This window comes from Homo sapiens, chromosome 5, assembly GCF_000001405.40.
Source record: "Homo sapiens chromosome 5, GRCh38.p14 Primary Assembly".
NCBI classification, from domain to species: Eukaryota; Metazoa; Chordata; class Mammalia; order Primates; family Hominidae; genus Homo; species Homo sapiens.
This window is the reverse complement of record NC_000005.10, coordinates 59,328,710-59,348,082: the sequence shown is the minus strand read 5'-3', so window position 1 is coordinate 59,348,082 and position 19,373 is coordinate 59,328,710. Positions and strand designations below refer to the sequence as shown.

Genomic DNA, 19,373 nt, shown 5'->3' with positions numbered 1-19,373 from the left:
CAAAATGGATGCGGTCTCTGCTTTCATCAAGTTTACATTCTGGTAGAGAAAGACAGAAAATAAACAAGTTAACAATAAATAAAATAAATAGAGACTGAGATGAGAGGTTCTGCTTGGGGAAGCCAGGGAAACCTTTACAAAGAAATTGATAATTTATTTGCATATAAGTTCAAGCATATCCATTCCATACATCTGTGAGTACATTTGTAGTTCTAGGCCTGAAACTCAGAACTGCACAAGGTCAATGGAACCATATAAATATTGACCTCATTACTGACTTGTTTTCAGTCTCCAGTCTCTTGAGTGAATTTACCTTTGCTTCTTTGTTATTATAAAAATACAGTGAGGGAAAGTAAAACAAGGAGGAAGATGAAAAGAAGATGTAGGGGGAAGAGGAGCAGTTTACAATATACTTTCTATTACATTGTTTCACACTATCTCAAAACTTTTTATACGTAGAAAATACTAAAGCAAAGAAAAATGGAAGTTAAAAATCGGTAGCAGTAGTAATAGTCCTATAGTAGGAACCTTGTTTTGTTTGAAATATGTGTCTGTGTCTGCCTACAAAACATAAACACCTTAAGCTAAGAATAACTGTGAGATTAATTTTTTATTTTCAAAGAAATAATACAAATTTTAAATCTTGCATTAAAAGGAAAGCTAGCTGGACGAAACTTTTCTGACACACAGATTTTGAGAATAGCACCCATAAATATGCTTCCAATGCTTGTCACTTGATCCCTTTTTGGCAATTAACTTGCCTTTAATTGATTTGTGGATTACCCACTGGAAGTTGCTATGGATAAAGGAATGTAATGGCAGAGTTTGTTTATATAGGGTAACAAAATAGACTGGCTGGGAGGAGGGATTTAACTGCAAAATATCCTTGATTTTCAGGAATTTTTCTTTTCACATAATGGCAGTGTTTAGATAAAGAATGGAAAGTTAATGAATCAGATTTGTGTTCCCATCCAAAGGGAAGATTTATGTCCTGTTTAAGAATCACATTAATTTGATGACGTTAGTACATTCTCTAGTGAAAGAGTGGCCACTTTAGTGGAGGAAAAAAACAAGCAACAAAACTCCTTCTGCCATCTTCAGGTTGTACCTGACGAAAAGCTTTTATTTGTGGGTTCTATGAAGTATCACTGCCCTGATCTCAGATGAACTAAAAGATGAAAACATTTCATCGCTCAAATAATTGTTTATCTCACATCTTACTGGTTCTAGAAAAGGACTATATATTTTCCCTCCTAACTTTCCTCAGTTTCTTGGTATAAAGTTCAAAATGCTTTGAGTAGAGTTGTTCAGGAGGTCCTCAGTGGCACTGCCACTCACTGGTTGGGACGTTTTTGTTCTCTGTCCTCCTGTGTGGAAGATGACAAGGACGGCTTTGTGCAACTTCTGTTGTATGCGCTGCTTTTCAACCCCTTGGATGAGATACTCATACAAGGAACGTCAGGTTTTTTTCCTAAAGCAAATCCGTGTAAACTGAGACAACATAAACCTTAGGGAGATCTGACACACCAAAATGCCAAGAAAGGGAAAGAAGAAATTATTATCGGTGGGGGAAACAAATTATCCTGTATTTTGGAGTGAATTTAAAAGGCTTATTGTTTGTTTTAGCACTACATGACTTAAAAAAAAAAGTCTCGCAGTCTTGCCTTCCTCATGTTGGTTAAAATGGAAAGGATTCTCTTTCTTTGCTATTTATAGATAACCCTTAGCACTCTGCAAGGATCTATTTGGTATAAAATGATGGGTGTGAATGTGCCAGTAAGAGAGAAAAAAATGCTTAGCCATATTTACTCATATAACCAACATCTAGGTCAAAATCAAAATATTACCAGCTCCCAAGGGGACCCCTTTATTCTTCTTTCCAGTCACTATGCACCCGAAGATAACCACTAACTGACTTCCAATAGCATAGATTTGACTACTTTTGAATTTTATATGAATGAAATTATACAATATAAACTCTTATTTTATTTCAGTCAATATTGTGTTTATGGGATTCATTCATAGTGTTTTGTGCATTCTTTATTCTCATTTTGTTAGTATTGCACCAAATGAATATGCTACAATTTACTTATTCTAGTGTTGATGGATAGTTAAGTATTCCAGTTTTAGGCCATTATGAATTAGAGCCATTATGAACATTATTGGATATATCACTTAGTAAACAAATGTACATGTAGTGTTGCAGTGTTTTGTGCATACACGTAGGTTGGGTATATCCCAAGAGGTAGGATTTCTGGGTCATAGGTTATGCCTTTGTCTTTAGATATTGCCAAATGTGTTTCTATACTGGTTGCCACATTTATGTCGCCCCCAAAGTGATGTTTCAGTTCTCTGCATTCTTACCAAAGTATAGGTCATCCATTTTCAGTGATGGCATCTTAAAAAATGTTTGCCTGTAATAACAATGTCATCATGCCTTTTATTTATGCAGTTGAGTCTTTTAATCTTTAGGACCTGTTTTTCCAGGAATAGTGTGGGTAACAGTGAGCCATTCACACTCTGTCTGTTTCTCCTCATGATGAATACTATGTAACTGTGAATTAAGTGACTAAAATAAGAAACGATCTGATATGCAGAAATAGAGTTTTCCCTGTTTGATCCATATGCAGCTTAAATATGTGATGTTATTCTACATTTTATCCAGATTCATTTTTCAAACCAATAGTAATCATTGTTAGCAAAAACCAATAAATAATCTTTTATTCTGTTTTAAAATTTCCATGTCGTACTTTGAGTTCTTGCTATATATCCCGTGCTCACTTTAAATCAGGTTTTCCTTCCCGTACATTATTTCTTGGAAAATATGTTTTGGACTTTTCCTAAACCACCTTAACCTGTTGAAAAACACTAGTAAATGCATAGGCAGTGTAAGTCACGCTAAAATAAATGTGTATTGCTTTTTCAAGATTTTGTTTACCCATGCATTTAAAGAAGGTTTTTTTCCCTTTATTTTCTTTCTTTTTTGTCATTATAGTCATTATGTCTTTTTAATGTTAAGATTCCGGTAATATATATTCCTCATTTTTATGTCATCTCCAAAGCTCCCCATAACTGATTGATGATATCAATCCGGCTTCTGGCATATAAAGTTTGTTGACCTGGTTCAGTTTGTACCATGTCAAAATGTGATCATTAATTATTAGATGATGTCAGGAAAAATTTAGTATGTGTGATAACTGTGGGTCCCATTTCTTAAAGCTTTCAAAATCCAATCTTAAGGCTCTCTACTTTGTGGCATATGAGGGAACATAAGTAAACATTAGAGCAATATCAAACGTATTCTAAGGGTTTCATGATGTGAAACAATATATCACTTTATTACCAGACAGATACTTCACATCGTGAAATTTGAAAAAGCATACGAGGTGGGGCACAGTGGTTTACCCTATAATCCTAGTGCTTTGGGAGGGTGAGGTGGGAGGATCGCCTGAGTCCAAGAGTTTGACACCAGCCTGTGCTACAGAGTGAGACCCCATTTCTACAAAAAATTTAAAAATTAGTAGGGTGTGATGGTGCCTGCCTGTAGTCTCAGCTACTCTGGGGGCTGAGGGAGGATTGCTTGAGCCTGGGAGGTCAAGGCTGCAGTGAATGTGATCACAGGAGTGTACTCCAGCCTGGGCAACAGAGTGAGACCTCATCTCTGAAAAAAAGAAAAAGTATGTAATTTTTACGTAAGAGTCACTCGATTCATATCATGAAGCTTGTGCTAAAAATGGAATCATTCAGTGATCATGGGCTGCTTTTCAAGCATTTTTCGCTCACCCTTTACCATTATGACAGTAAACTTTGGGGAAAGGGGAAGGCATGGGCCAATACATCTTTTAGTATTTCTTGGTTATACTAAGAACTACTGAGGAACTGCTAAGGAACAACTACATAGATAAAAAGTATTTTTATTATAACCCTTGTGAAAAACCTCTTCCCCCATAAAACGTTTAGTATCTTGTATGAAGGCATAATGTACTTTTAAATATTCAAATCCAATTCCAGATTTCATTTATGTGCTATGTACTGTGTAATCCACCACGCAAAATGTAATTTCTTGCTTTTAATATAAATTTTCATTATTATCATAAATGAAGTCTCAGACCACAACATTTTGTTAGGTTGCATTCAAATGGTAATCATAATATGACCTATACCAGTTTTTGCATGGAAGGGCAGCAGCCGGCTGAACTAGATTTCCACTTTTGTCTTGGCTCATTAAACAACAATGGACAAGTTACCTTAACTTCATGGGTCCTCAACCTTCTCATTCGAAATTGAGTGTATGGACTGTATATTACAATATCCTTTTAAGCTTACAGAAATAACATTATGGAGGTATGAGAAAATTGTAAATGATCCAAGATATGTGCCTAAATATTTCTTCATACATCAAGCATGCATTCATGAAATCAACACCAAGCCCAGGAAATATCAAAGAATAGCTCAATGTCCCTGTGAACTTATATCCAATTCAATAATTCATCCAACAAATGTATATTGAGTATATAATCTGCTAGACTTATGAAGCCTTAAACTTTATGCTGTACATTCTGATATATGTTGTTTTAACCAGGGGTTGGTCAGCTTTCAAAAGTGACCCTTTTGCTAACATTGTTCTTCTGGCTGAAAGCTAGTAAGTATAAGCAAAAGGAGAGATGTATATGATCTCACTTCTATGTGGAATCTAAAAAAGTCAAACTCACAGAGGCAGATAATAGAAGGGGGTTACCAGGGGGTGATGGGAACAGGAGGGATTGGGGAAATGGTGGTCAGAGGATATAAAATTTCAGTTAGACAAGAGGAATAAGTTCAAGAGATCTACTGTACAACATGGTGACTATCATTAAGAACAATGTATTGTAAACCAAATATTATATGTGGTCACTTATAAGTGTGACCTAAATAATGAGACCACATGGATACATAGGGGGGAACAACAGACACAGGAGCATACCAGAGAGGGGAGGGTGGGAGAAGGGAGAGAATCAGGAAAAATAACTAATGGATACTAGGCTTAATACCCCCATGACACGAATTTACCATTGTAACAAACCTGCACATATATCCCTGAACTTTAAATAATAACAAAACCAAAAAAAAAAAAGAAAATTTCTAAGAGAGTAGATTTTAAATGTTCTCACCACAAAAAAGTATGTGAGTTAATGCATATGTTAATTAGCTTGATTTAGCTCTTCCGTAATGTGTACGTATTTCAGAACATCATCTTGCGCACTATAAATGTATGCAATGTTTGTCAGTTAAATATTTTTAAATGAATTTTTTGAAAAGAGGAGGGGTGTGAAAATGAAGACTACTTCTGACTTTATATTTTATATTCTGGGGTTACAAGAATGAGACCTCCCTGATGCCTACACACAAATGGATTAATGTGAAACTGAAGGTTTACTTGCCCAGTTTACTTGCCCATGTTTACTTGCCCAGTTGATTCAGCTGGTTTATGTATAATTGTCAACAATTTAAACTCTGTCCCATTCCTCCCCAAAATTTATGTACTTTAAAAATAGATCTCATCATTTCAACATTTCAATTTATATATGAGAGAAATAAAAAGGACTAGTAAAAATTATATGAAGAAGCAACTCCAAATATGGTAATTTATGGTTCAAAGGAGATAGGTAATTGTCTTCTCTCAAGAGCCACTAGACCACAAAATATCAACATCAAAGATGAATGCAAGCGCTAGGGGAAACGATACAGATCAGAGGCACCATGTGTTGTGCATTCTGGTATTTGTCAGAGATAAGGAATGAAGCTGAATTTTTTCATGGATTTGTCTTGAAGGAAAATAAAATGAGAGGTTATGCTAAGTATAAAACTATCTTTACAAAGTTCCTTTCCGTTAAGACCTTCAAAGATATGTAAAATCATAATTTGAGAATTGCTTTTAAGGACCTAATTCAGGTTAGCTAACAAATCATTATCTAAAAAGAGAGTGTTAGAATACTATGCATTTAAAGTGAGTAGTTCACTTCATGATTGAGCAGAAATTCCTGAGTTCAAATCATGGCTCTTCCACTTGCAGCTTGTATGACATTTATGAAATTCCTTAAGTGTGCTCTGTTTCAGGTGCCTCTGCGCCTACATCATTAGAGTTATTCAAGTATTAAATGAGATAATACATATATAGCCGTTAAACTAGCGCCTGGCATAGAGTAAACAGTCAGCTCACATCAGCTAGCGTTATTCACAAGAATAGGCTATACATTTCTTTCCATCAAAGATAAGTGCAAGTTTGAATAGAAAAATTAATTTATGAAACAAGACTGATTTTATGCTTTTCTATAGTGCCCATGATTCAAAGGAAAAGAAGGAAATAATCACCAACCAAGTGACCCTGTAAAATAGATAGGAGTTACGCCATGCATACATACATGCATATATATGTATTTTGGATATATATGGATATATTATGTGTGTGTTTGCATACGCATTATATATACATACATACCTTTGCCAAGAAAATTGGATGTCTCATATCTAAAAAACTTTCAGTGTTAAGAACTAGCCAAGTGTCAAGTACACAATTTGTATTCAACATATATTTACAGAATTTAACTTTGTAAAAATTTCAAATCACTGTTATTGCTTTTCCTACTTGTAAAACAATTACAAAAATCCCTTGGCTTTTGTGGTGTGGACTATTATAAGGGACTCTGATGCTTCATGACAGGGAGTAATTTGATCCAAAGTACAACGGAGCTCTCGTGTGGATTTAAGTTACCAAACTATTGAAGGGACCCATGCACCACCAAGTATTCAAATCACAATATAATTTCATTATTCTCTACCCTCCCTTGCAAATGTAATAACTCTGAACTGATAAACACATTGTACCTGTGTAGAAAAATGCCACCCAGAAGGAAGCTGACTGCTAATCTAGGCCTGTGCTGTCCAACAAGAGAGCTAGTAGCCATAGAGCACTTGAGCTGTGGCTAATCCAAATCAGATGTGCTGGTAATGTAACATGCACAAAGGATTTCAAATAATAGTGTGAAAAAAAGTAAAAATTTTCTCATTTGTAATTTTCATAATGATTACATGTTTAAATACTAATACTGTGTATAGGGTTAAATAAAACATATTTAAATTAATTTCACCTGGTTGTATCTAAGTGTCCATCAGCCAATTAACGGATAAAGAAAATATGGTACATACACACAATGGAGTACTATTCAGCCACAAAAAGGAATGAGATCCTGTCATCTGCAACAATATGGATGGAACTGGAGGTCATTATATTAAGTGAAATAAGCCACACACAGAAAGACAAACTTTGTATGTTCTCATTTGTGGGAGGTAAAAATGAAGACAATTGATCTCATGGAGATAGAGTGGAAAGATGGTTATCAGAACCTAGGAAGGGTAGTGAGTGGCAGGGGTGTGGGAGTGGAGATGGTTAATGGGTACAAAAATATATTTAGATAGAATGATTAAGATCTAGTATTTGATAGCACAAAAGACTGATTGCAGTCACAATAATTTATTGTACATTTTTTAATTAAAGAGTATAATTGGATTGTTTGTAACACAAAGGATAAATTATTGAGGTGATGGATACCTCATTTACCCTGATGTGATTATTAGGCATTGTATGCCTTATATCAAAATATCTCATGTACCCCATAAATATACCTACTATGTACCCACAAAAGTAAAAAGTAAATACATTAATTTCACCTGGTTGTAAAAATAACTTTTTGTAATATGGCTTTTTAAAAATTTAAAATTACATGTTGTGGCCATCATTCATGGTTCACATTATGTTTCTACTGAACAGCGTTGATCTAGACAGTAGACACTACGCAAAAACAGCTAAGAAAATTATTAATTCTTTAAAAGGATAAAATTTAAAGTGATAAATGAGATCAAATTTTATGAGCAAGTCCATCGTAGTTCACTCTGTGCTTGTTTCTAGGGAAAAAAAATTGGAACTTTCTGTAGAGTGTGCCAGTCAATGCAAAAGTGCTCATCAAGAGAGAATTAAAACATTAGCAAATAGGGGCTGTTGATGAAAATGAGATTCCAGAGAGGGTGAGAAGACTGAACACATTCCTGTAAAGCAACAGGGATTAATGCACCAATGAGAATTGCTTTTTTTTTTTTAAACAAAACAAAACAAAACAACAAAAAAACCCACTAAATTTTTCTAGGGGAAAAGTAAATGCTAGAGTGATATTAGTGAATTAGGGGATTTGTGAAGATGCATTTGAATGTCAAGAATATAATGTAGTTTTCTTAGTATTTTTGAATTCAGTGACCTTTTGTTAACCTCAAGAGACTGAGGCTAAGACACCAACATTTACCATGTGCTTCAATCATTCTCTCAAGGACGCACAGCTCCTCTGAGCTGTAATAGGAATTCAGGTCTGTGTGACTCCTGAGCCCACATGACCGAACGTGTGCCCATGGAACACTGGTCCCTGCAACTGCTCTGCAAATAATGGTTCTATACTTAAATCATTTTAAGAAATGTTGCATGTATCGTTACCGTCTTAAACATGATTCATTGATTTGCATATTAAAGGCACTGAGAATTGCTAAAAAACTGTTTAACTTTTTAAAATCTTTTTCTCAAACTTCTTTTGCCACAGAACACCTCCTCCCCTGCACATGCATCTATATGCCATTTATCACCAGTTGCATGCTGAAACTAACCTTAGACAGAATGCTATTTGGAAATGCTGAGATGCCTTAAATTGCCTTCTATCATCTCTCATTATTAGTTACTAAGGAAAATGGCTTTGAGAAAATATAAAATATTTCAGGAAAATATGTAATTTGATGCTCAGATAACTCACTTTTTGCTACATCAGAAAAAGCAAAACTAGAATTTAAAAATAAACTTGGATGCATGTCTTGGTTATTCTTATATTCATAGTGTGTGATCCAAAGGGAGTCAAAGAAATCTGTAGCGAGGCTGCTCACAGTCTAGGTCTCTTTTTGTGTAGGACAAAGGTAGGGCTTGGCTTCTAGTTGAAGCTACAGTTCTGTAGGACTTGGGATTTGGAAAAGTAATGACAAGATAAATAAGTTATCACCATCAGAGACCTAAATGGTTGCAAATTTGGCACTGGTTACATAATGAACAAAAGTTTCATAACATATTTCATAAGATATTTTCATAACATATGTCTTACAATTACTTTTTTTATTTTCTGAGGTTTTTTCTCTAAATTATGCTAAAAATGTCATCGAGAAGCATAAAAACAGACTTTCATTAATAGTTGCTATAGCAGTGGGAAATTTTTGTAGGAATTTAAGTAAAAAAGCAAGTTATTTAGCAGTTTTGTTCAAATTAGACATTTCTGCCATCAGCCTGCCCCCTGGGAACTTGGAAAGTGCATACTTGCTCTTGAGTTCTGCTAGTGCCCTAACCACACGCCTTTCATGTCTACCATACTTCGATGATCTTGGATTCAAATATGATCCTCTGCCTTCCTCACAGAAAGAAACAATTTAGGGACATGGACTTAATGGTAATGACTTTCAAAAGCTAATGACGTGCAGTCTTTCGGCACTGCCTAGCCGAACACTCTTTAGACAACCTGCTGCTTTAGACTGGACATGCACATGATTCCTAAGATACACTAAACAAGAATATGAGATGCTGAGTCCATTGTTTCCTGTGCAAAATTCAGTTCACCAAGAATACTATTTTCACCAAGAAAGCCATAGACTGTGTGTAGGTAAAGAACTTTTGCGCTAATGAAACTTGTTATTGGCTGGGACTAGGGGCCTAAATACTAGTTTGAGATTCTGTTTCTGCTGTGCCATATAGCATGAGATCCCACTTTTGCCTCTATAAAGCAGGGCTATGGTTATCTTTCCTTATTACCTCAGTTGATTGTTGGCTGTGAGAACCAAGTAAGATATGCTTCATGGAATAACAGAAGAATGCAAGATATTATCACGGGAGGCAACATTTTTGGGATATCACATATTAGTGGAAACTTAAAGAATATTTGAGAGGTTATCTTTGACATTTACATAAAACCATGTATGAAACAAGTAGTTCTTGTGTTTTTTTAACCTATGAACTTTTTCAAGTGTTTTCTCCACAACATTCCTCTCTTCTACCAAAGAAAATCAGTTTACAGTCATGTGTTTTGTAAAAGCCTAAATGGGAATGAAGGTGGTTAGTAAGAGGGTTCACAAGATGGAGAGGCTCCCATGACATTTGTAGGTTTAATCTCGTGCCCCATGACCTCTTAAAATGTCCCCATGCCCATTCAGAATACCCCAATTCACTTCAAAGGCAAAAACAACGTGACATTGTGAAATCATACCAGATGTTCTAGTAGAACTGTGTTCTGGTCCTATTGAGTTCACCCAGGAGAGGCATCAAACTCTGCAATCAGAACATATCAACACATGGCCTATTAGCTGATTCTGCCACTTGGTAGCTGTATATTCTCTCTCTGTTTAGTGTCCTTATCTGTAAATTGAAATAATAATAATAGCTCATAAGGCTTTGTGGGGATTAAGTGAGATAATCATGTACAGTGCCCAGCACAGTGTCTACTGCATGGTAAATACTGCAAAAATGTTAGCTGTTGACTGCTCCTATTTATGACCTTCATTATTAAAAAGGGGAACTTAGGCTGACGCAGGAGAATGGCGTGAACCCCGGGGGACGGAGCCTGCAGTGAGCCGAGATCACACCACTGCCCTCCAGCCTGGGCGACAGCGAGACTCCGTGTCAAAAAAAAAAAAAAGGTGGGGGGGGGGGAACTTATGAATGCCTTTCACTTATACCAGCATCATTAAAAATTTAAGTTTTTTAAGAACCATGAAAAGCTAACCATTGACAATTTAAGAAGCATGCAAGCTTGGTTTACAAAAGAACTGGACAAGCTCAGAATGGGCTAGTTCAGTGGAGTGACTGCTGCAGGAGCTCAGGTTTTGAGACCTTCCTGTCTTCTTCCTTCATCCTTCTCCTCTTTTTGTGTTCTCTCCACACACTTTTCCTCATCAAAGCCAAAACCTTTGTTCTTGCTATATTCTCTTTTTAGAGCCTGCTCACAGTAAAATTTTAAAAAAATGAAGAAGTGCTGAAAGTGTAGATAAGCAATTAGACATGAGTTAATGTTTTTTATTTGCAAGAGCATTTGCATTCTAATATGAACTGAACATTGAGTAAATAGATTCCTGACTCCCTAACAGGGCTATGTCTTGTGTCAGGAAGCCAGCGCACTGGGCTTCTTGGTAGGCAGGAGACCCAAGTCATCATCTGCTACTAAGGCTGGGTCTTGGAAGATGGAGAAGGCCGTAGAAGAAAGGAAAGCCAAAAAAAGAAAGGAATGAGATTTTGATATATTAATTAGCTCATACTATAAGCCTGGACTTTTGCTAGGCATTTTCCATGGTAATTTGGTTATACCTCAAAACAATTCTCAACATTATTATCACTGCCACCACTTCTGTTAGCAGCTGTGAGAACAGAGGTCATGTGAGTAAGCAGTTTGCTAAGGGTTGCATAGCTTAAAAAGTAGTCAATAAGCTAAAGTTTGAACCCTGAGATGCCTGGCCTTCACAGCTAAACTTTTATTAATTACACCTGCTTCTAACAACAACAACCATGGCTAAAGTTTCATTAACCTACCAGTTTCTAACAACATTAACAAAAACATTTTCAAAAATATAATAATAGTCATCAATAGGAATAAAGGGAAACAATCCAAAAATAGCTCTGTTGAGGTTACTGATGGATGGGGACAGGAAAGTACAAAATTTTTTCTACGAAAGTTTCCCTTTGAGGATCACTTTCCTTGGCTGTCTTGCCTTGTGAAATTATACCTTCCCTAATGGCTTGGAGCTGATTGTGCCCTTCTTTCTGTCAAGGACAGCTTAAACTTCATGGAATAGTTTATTTGAAGCTTGTGGGTACCAATTCCAGGCAGCAAGATACTACTTTCAGAGATTCAATTAACTTCCTTCAGAGTCACAGCAAAAAGCGATAGAGCTAAATTGATTACCTTGAAGTGCCTTAACCGTTTTGCTGCTGTTGTTACTTCTTGAGCCAATTTATTCTCCCAGCAATGTCACTGTTACTGAAGTTGGTCTGTTCTTTATTCTCAGTTTATGAATAGGAATCATCTGAATATAGTTATAGACCTCTAGTCTAGATCATTTTTTGCAAAATTACAAAGATGGGAAAATTTCCAAGCCATAGTTATTCCAAATGGCTGGGAGTGCCTTAGGAACTTATTTCTGGAGTCTTTTGAACTATTTATATTATTGATATGAACAATGCCCCTGATTGTTAGTTAGCAATCTATTCATTGATAGGGACATGAAAGGCAGTCTGCTGCCATCTAGCTTTTTAGTTTCTATCTTTAGGAATTTTCCGGTCCTTTCACAGAAAGACACTTTTTAAAGGAGCAATTCTTACTTCATCCCTGAGAGGGAGACACTTATGAAGGTACTGCAGAATCTTAAAAAAAAAGTCTTCATCATTCTTTTACTTCTTTTTGCCTTTAAGTTGGTCTTAAATGGGTAAAAGTGATAAATGTAGGTTGTGTAGTTCAAATCCATTGCAGTGACTAAGCAGTGACCACCCATAGGGGCAAAAACTATGTATTTTTAGAGGCAAAGATTGATAACCACAGCCATGACCCTGAGCAAGACTGTGAAATAGATGCAGTTCTTTGCCATCCTCCCTTTTCCTGAGTTATGGGCACTTTCTGCCTTCATAGCTGTTTCCTCTGCAAAATGGAGATTTTACTGTCAGAAGTCTCCTATTGCTATTGCTTCTTGGAGTTGGTTCCCATGCTCTGGGCACAGGAAAGCAATCTGAGATCTTCACTACTAGTATTTATTGAGCACCTATACTATGCCAGGACTGGACTGTGCTCTGAGGTCACAGTGGTAAACATACCGACATGGTTCCTGCTGTCATGAGCCTTCCAAAGGAATAGCGAAGAAAAACATTAAACATATCAGCCCATGATTAAATGCATAATTAGATAAAATGCATTGAAGAAGTAAAGATCCCAGGAAAGGAGAGAACCAATTAATATGATGGATGGGAAATCAAGGCTGCTGGAAGGAAGTAGTGTATAAGCTGAAAAATGAGGAGTGAATAGGAATTAGCCAAGTGAAAAGCAGAGGCAAATGGGTTTCAGGAAAAGGAAAAACATATGTACCAGTAACATTTCAAGAAGAAATGGGAAGGATTAGATGATTTCTGTTATTCTTATTAGGTTGATCTCTTCCATGGAAGAGACACACAGAATGTAATTAATTTATAGAATATAAAAATGATTTTTTTTTTTAGGAATGGGGAGGTGAGGAGAAGACCCGCTTCAAGTTCTGTTCCAATATTAATATGGTTTTGCTTTCTCTACAAACCTAAGTAAAACAATGGTGGTACCAAGGGTTGGTTGGGAGGCACTAGTTTTCCCAGTGTACATACTCACAACTAACATAAAAGCTAAATACGTATAATCAACATGCTTACACTACAAACACAACTTCAAATAAAATTCACTAGATCAACCGGGCACAGTGCCTCACACCTGTAATCCTAGCACTTTGGGAGGCTGAGGCGGGCAGATCACCTGAGGTCAGGAGTTTGAGACCAGCCTGACCAAGGTGGTGAAACCCCATCTCTATAAAAATACAAAAATTAGCCAGGCATAATGGCAGGTTCCTGTAGTCCCAGCTACTAGGGAGGCTGAGGCAGGAAAATTGCTTGAACTCAGGAGGCAGAGGTTGCAGTGAGCCAAGATCATGCCATTGCACTCCAGCCTGGGTGACAGAGCTAGGCTCCATCTCCAAAAAAAAAAAAAAAAAAAAAAAAAAAACTCCACTGGATCCTCTCTTCCAACTTTTTTCCCCTAATTTCTTCCCTTAGCACTGATATTATCAAACAAGTGGCCAATCCTATAAAGGCTATCAGACTCCAATTTAAAAAAACTATTAAATTTAAAAACACTCAGAGATATAATGATTGTATGCCTTTTATGAGGAAACTTAGTACCTAAAAGAAAACCCTATAACTTAACATTAAGCATATGAAGGTAGCTATTATTCAAATAAGTAGCAGTAAAGACTTTTCAGCTTTGGATCCTCATAAACAAGACCTGCAGGTTTAAAGATTTGCATACATCTTTTAACAATGCATCATTTTTATTATAGTATATTATATACTATTTTATATTTACTTAATGAGATTACTGACCTGGGTTTCAAGATATGTATGAAATATAATTAGGATATGAAAATTAAAGATAAATTATCCCCACCAGAAATAATCTTAGCAGGTTATTTACTAAAGAATCTTAAATCCAGCAGATCAAGAAAAACTCCCCAAGGAGTCTTTAATTAGAACTCTTTAGGATGGAATCAAAATCTCTCCATAAAAAATGAATCTTGCCTTAGGCTACATAAATTACAAAATCTGAAGCCCTTTAAGCAGCATTAAAACTGCTGATTTTAATTGCTCTGATAATGAACTGGAGAGAGACACACTAAGCTTCCTGGATTTCTGTTGGAAATGAATGGGATTCTTGCCAACTATGGATCACAGTTATGAGGTATTCTGCACAGGGAAAATCAAAAGAAAGCAGATGGACCTTGACATGCTATGCCATCCTATGCCTTCTTCCTTCCCAAGAAGCATGTTACAATAACTTTAAGTGAAGGTTGTCACAACTTTAAGTGAAAAGTCTCCCCTTTCTGTCTAATTTTTAATGTAACTTCCCCCTTCTCGATATATCCAGAAAATAGTTAATAACAATCCCTGAGGGAAAAGAAAAATGCTGCCCTTCATATTAAAAAAAAGAAGATAACAGAGATCCCCTTAGTGGTGAGTGATTTATAGTGAAAACAGCCAACTCATTCTCTTTTGCCTCCTTTTGACCTAGAGAACTGGATTCGCGGATTTGTAACTGGATTTTGATTATAGAGTATGTTCTATGGCTACAAAAGAGTTTTCCTTTGAGGAAAACTCAAACTGCCAACAGATATGCTTGGTATATCAGTTTTCAATGCTTTCAATTGTAAATAACAGAAACCTGGACTCACAATAGCTTGAACAAATAGGAATTACTTTTAAGTAGGTGGCACCGGAGGTGTTTCAGCTGTTGCATGATGTTATCACCATTTGCAAAGAGGCAGCATCTCCACAATTTTCTTGGCCTGTTCCTCTTGATGGCAAATGGCTACTGCACGTCCAGATGATCATGTCTGTGTCACAGATAGTGAGAGGGAAGGAGGAAGGATGAGAGAGGATGGCCAGCTAAAGTTGTATCTACCCCACTTATAAGAAACACAAAGCCCTTCCCCAGAGCTTACAGCCCTTTAGCCAGAACTATGACACATGGTCATCTTGAGTGCAGAAAGATGGAAGTTAACATTTGGTTTTCTGGTCTTTTTAATAAAGATAGCAAGGATGAAGAAGTTTGGAAAAGACTGTGGGCTAGCCAATCAAATTGTCGACCACATTTGGCCTGTATTAATGTATAGTTTTTAAAGCCTAATGTCAATTTGTTAAGGTGTCTTAAGGACAGGAAAATGGAGAAGAACTAAGATTTTTTATATCAAATACAGAGTAAATCTTGGAAAGGGTGAATTAGAGTGGAAAATAAACTAGACATTATCTAAGAGTGCCTTGAAGCCAGATCTTGCAAAACATTAGGCAAGCATGTCACTCATAATGGACCCCAGGGCTTTCCATCTCATAATGTGGATAAAAATAACAGTGTTTCTCTCAGTTTTTAAAAATGTCACCAAAAATTCAATAAAGTATATACATACATATTGTAATTGTTTAAAGTAAAAATTTTATGCTGTTTTGGGAAGAAAAATAACCAAAAAAAACCATCACTGACCATTGGTCATCAAAATCTGATTTATGCCATGTTTACAAGATAAAAACAAGAATAAATAATAATTGTTTGAAATATTTTCATCATATTGCCTCTGAAATGATTGATGTCATACTGCCTGGATTTAGTCAACTCAGTGAATGATTTATCAGTAGCCATGCTCTAAGGAGCTCTCTATTCATAGATACTTATGATTTGGTGAACTGGGAAACCCACAGAGAAAGGTAAATGAAATAGGAGAGCCAGGTAAATGGGCCATGGATCTAAGAACCAGGAATCATGATTGTTTGGAAGAACATATCTCAGACTGAGAAAAGCTGGCGCTAAAGTAAGCTAGCATTTGATTAGAATGTTGAAGGATAATTTCATTCTTGGAGACAGAAAACCTAAGTAGAAGCAAAAGAAGTAGGAAATAGAAGCCTGTGTTTGAGAGATTCAGAGTGACTGTGTTTTATTAGAATTGCAAGAAAGGGAACTTGAAAACATAAATTTAACATGGGGCAACAGGCCTTGGATTCTGAACAGAGGGACTTTGTTTAAGGATGGCTCTGTGGCTGTGGAACAGTTTTTCTATAGATTATCAAAATGATTCTGGAAAAGAAATGTCATTCTGGACTGAGAGCACATACCATAGGGAAAACATGAGGCTTATGGGCTGAATTGTGTCACACCCAAAGTCATATGCTGAAGTCCTAACCTAGGACCTCAGAATGTGGCTTTATTTGAAGATTGAGCCTGTAAATAGGTGATTTTGATAAAATGAGATCATTAGGGTAGACCCGAATCCAACAAGGCTGGTGTCTTTATAAGAAAAGGAGATTAAGATGCACGCGCACACGCAGAGAAGACTACGTGGAGATGAGGAGAAGATGGCCATCTACAAGCCAAGAGGAGAGGTCTCCCGAAGAAACCAACCCCACTGACATCTTGACCTCAGTCCTCTGGCCTCCGGAACTGTTTTAAAACATAAGTTTCTATTGTTAAAGCCACCTAAGTCTGTGGTATTTTGTAATGGCAGCCCTAGGGAAAAACTACAATGAGCAAGTATTATTTGTATTTTAAGAAATAATATTATAAACTAAATTCATGGAGGGGAAAATAGAAAAAGAGGTCATTTCTGAAAACATTGTATAGGTGTAACATAGTTGACACTATCAACTACTACAATGGGATCAGGAGACAGAGGGTCAGTGATAACGGAGCTCTCAAGACTGGAAACTGGGCGATCCAGAAGGACAGGCGGTTGATGAAAGAAAATGATGAGTGTGGTTGAGGCTGCGTTTCCCTTGAGGAGGTGCTGGTGCTCAGGGTAGAGGCATCCATCACGATGTCAGAAATGTGTGTCAGACACGAAGGCAGGAATGAGGCTGTCGAGGAAGCCATGGCAACATAAACAGAGAAGTGCCACAGCGAGACAACCAGCCAATGAGTTGTGTAGTTTCTTGTAAGTAGCTGAAACAACATAACCAAATTGTTCAATTTAGTCTACATATGAAATTTCAATGTCAGAGAAAGGCCTTTAATCTCAAAACGAAATAAACTAAAAGACATTATTTTCCTGACAGCTAAGTCTTAAAATTTCTTTTGAGAAATAAAAAAAATGGTTTTCTCTTTTAACATAGAGGCAAACCAGTAAGTCAGATACTTCAGGGGAAGGTAGCTTGGTGATTTGAATGTATGTGAGTGTGAATACGTGAGATTAGAATCTTACCTGAGAACAAATTTTCATGAGCATCATTGGAGAGTGGGAGAGCATGAAGACTTTTACCCTTCTCTCTGCAGGAGAGAATTGTGCAGGAGGAGGTGGGGAGAATGCCACCAAGAACAGGTTGCCTGGGGCTAGTTTAGCGATGGGGTCCAAACGATCTCACTAATGTGAAAGGATCATAGTTACCTTACCAAGGGAAAGTTGGCTTCAACTATATATTTCACTTCTGTACCAGGTTTTGCTTAAATGCTACTCTTTGGAGAATATCAAGAAATTTAGATGAGTTTACCAAATCCAAGATTGTGTTCCCTGCTTTTAACTCTTGTTACTGAAATAGCCCCCTGATCCCCAAGAGTAATGCTTGACTGAGGTGTTTGCATGAATTGTTTATATCATTCATTAATTAACGTGATGAACATATTAAAGATAGGACTCCCAGTTTTCATCCCAAGGGCTTACATATAATAGTAACAACCTTTAGAAAAGTACTGCATTGTTTATTTATAGAATGGCTTTGACTCACTTAATAATGCTCCATAATTAATTTGTAAATTACTTTTTGACTTTGCACAATTATAATTTAATGTCATATATCTGCAAAAGAAAACACTTTTATGTTGCTAATATTAATTTCCCTTCATAAATTTGAGACTGTTTTGACTATAGATAAATGTAAAATGTCAATGTGGTGAGAATGACTCAGCTTCTCAGATATTCATTTATTCTATAAATATTTTTGAATACCTACTATGTTTCAGGCACTGATCTAAGTGTTGAATAAGTAGACAAGGACAGCCTGCCTTCAGGTTTTTTACATTCAAATAACACAAGATGATGAAGAAATTTTTAAAATAATCTGGTTCCATTTGGCAGATAATATAGATATGCTCAGTTTTATAAATTTTGATACCTAAAGTATTGTGATAATCCAAATCATGACCTTTAGACATTACACTATGCTTATTGATTGAAGGTTGACATATGTTTAGCATATTCTCTTATAATGTATTTAAGGACTTCAGTGAGTAGACAAAAGAAGTAAACTTGATCAGACAACATGATTTCTGAGAACAGACTCTTCCTGGAGCAAGCATTCTGGTTAGATTTTACAGGGCTTCAATAAAAAGGTATATGTTTATGCTTTTTGCTAGTTGGGGGTTTCCTAGCAAATGATTCCATGAAAACATTTGCAGGGAATTCCCATCTGTTCTATATTTCCCTGATTTGGGGGCTCTGAATCAATAATGCTGATGTAACAGTTGGCAAATTAGATAAGAACAGCCCGAGACTTCCTTTTCCATTAGGTGTAGTCTCATGGAAAATCACCCTTGAATCCATCAATGGAATGAAGCAACTGGGTGGAGCCTATGGGAAAATCCTGGAGGAAGTCCCCAACTAGTCAGCCTCCCCTCTCTGCCTTGCACTCTTGGATTCCTTAGCGAAACATCCAAAATGGCCTTCTTGCAAGGAGGATGCAGTCGGTGATCCACATACTGACCAACAGCTGTGTGTGAAAGGCACCGTGCCCACCACAACAAAGGGGCAGTGAGGTCTGCTGAGCAGATGAGTCGCTTTTCTGGACCCTTCCAGGCTTGCAGTTGGCTCAGATGAAAAGCTCAGGCTTATGAGCTGCCAGAAAGTATTTGGCAAAAAGCCCACCTTTTTTCTCAAGTACACGTATTCAATTGACTTGATTCCTCAGAGAGATTTGTGAGGGTGAAAGCAAGTTCATTGTCCACTTTTAATGACCCTCAACTTCTAATGAGGTAATATATGTGAAAGTGATTTTTTTAAATGCAATGCAA

General features: G+C 36.6%; 1 protein-coding gene across 28 annotated transcripts in view, besides 1 other annotated feature; it reads left to right on the top strand.

Annotated features, from left to right (window-relative positions):
* Positions 1-19,373, top strand: part of PDE4D (phosphodiesterase 4D) — a 1,553,091-nt gene that overhangs the window by 1,174,046 nt on the left and 359,672 nt on the right. The window contains exon 1 of one of the 28 annotated variants that reach the window (XM_047417298.1): positions 1-19,373. This exon is cut by the window's left edge and continues 8,888 nt beyond it; it is cut by the window's right edge and continues 12,046 nt beyond it. The exons of the other annotated variants lie outside the window; for them this stretch is intronic. The gene's annotated coding sequence lies outside the window, so the exon portion shown is untranslated. 28 annotated transcript variants of the gene reach the window in all.
* Positions 18,303-19,373: part of an enhancer, noted in NCBI's record as "BRD4-independent group 4 enhancer chr5:58624407-58625606 (GRCh37/hg19 assembly coordinates)", that runs on past the window's edge. NCBI's record gives its function as "activates an origin of replication core promoter dependent on BRD2, P300/CBP, MED14 and CDK7 cofactors, and independent of BRD4, by STARR-seq in HCT116 cells {active_cell/tissue: HCT116}" and the evidence as "EXISTENCE:reporter gene assay evidence [ECO:0000049][PMID:35650434]".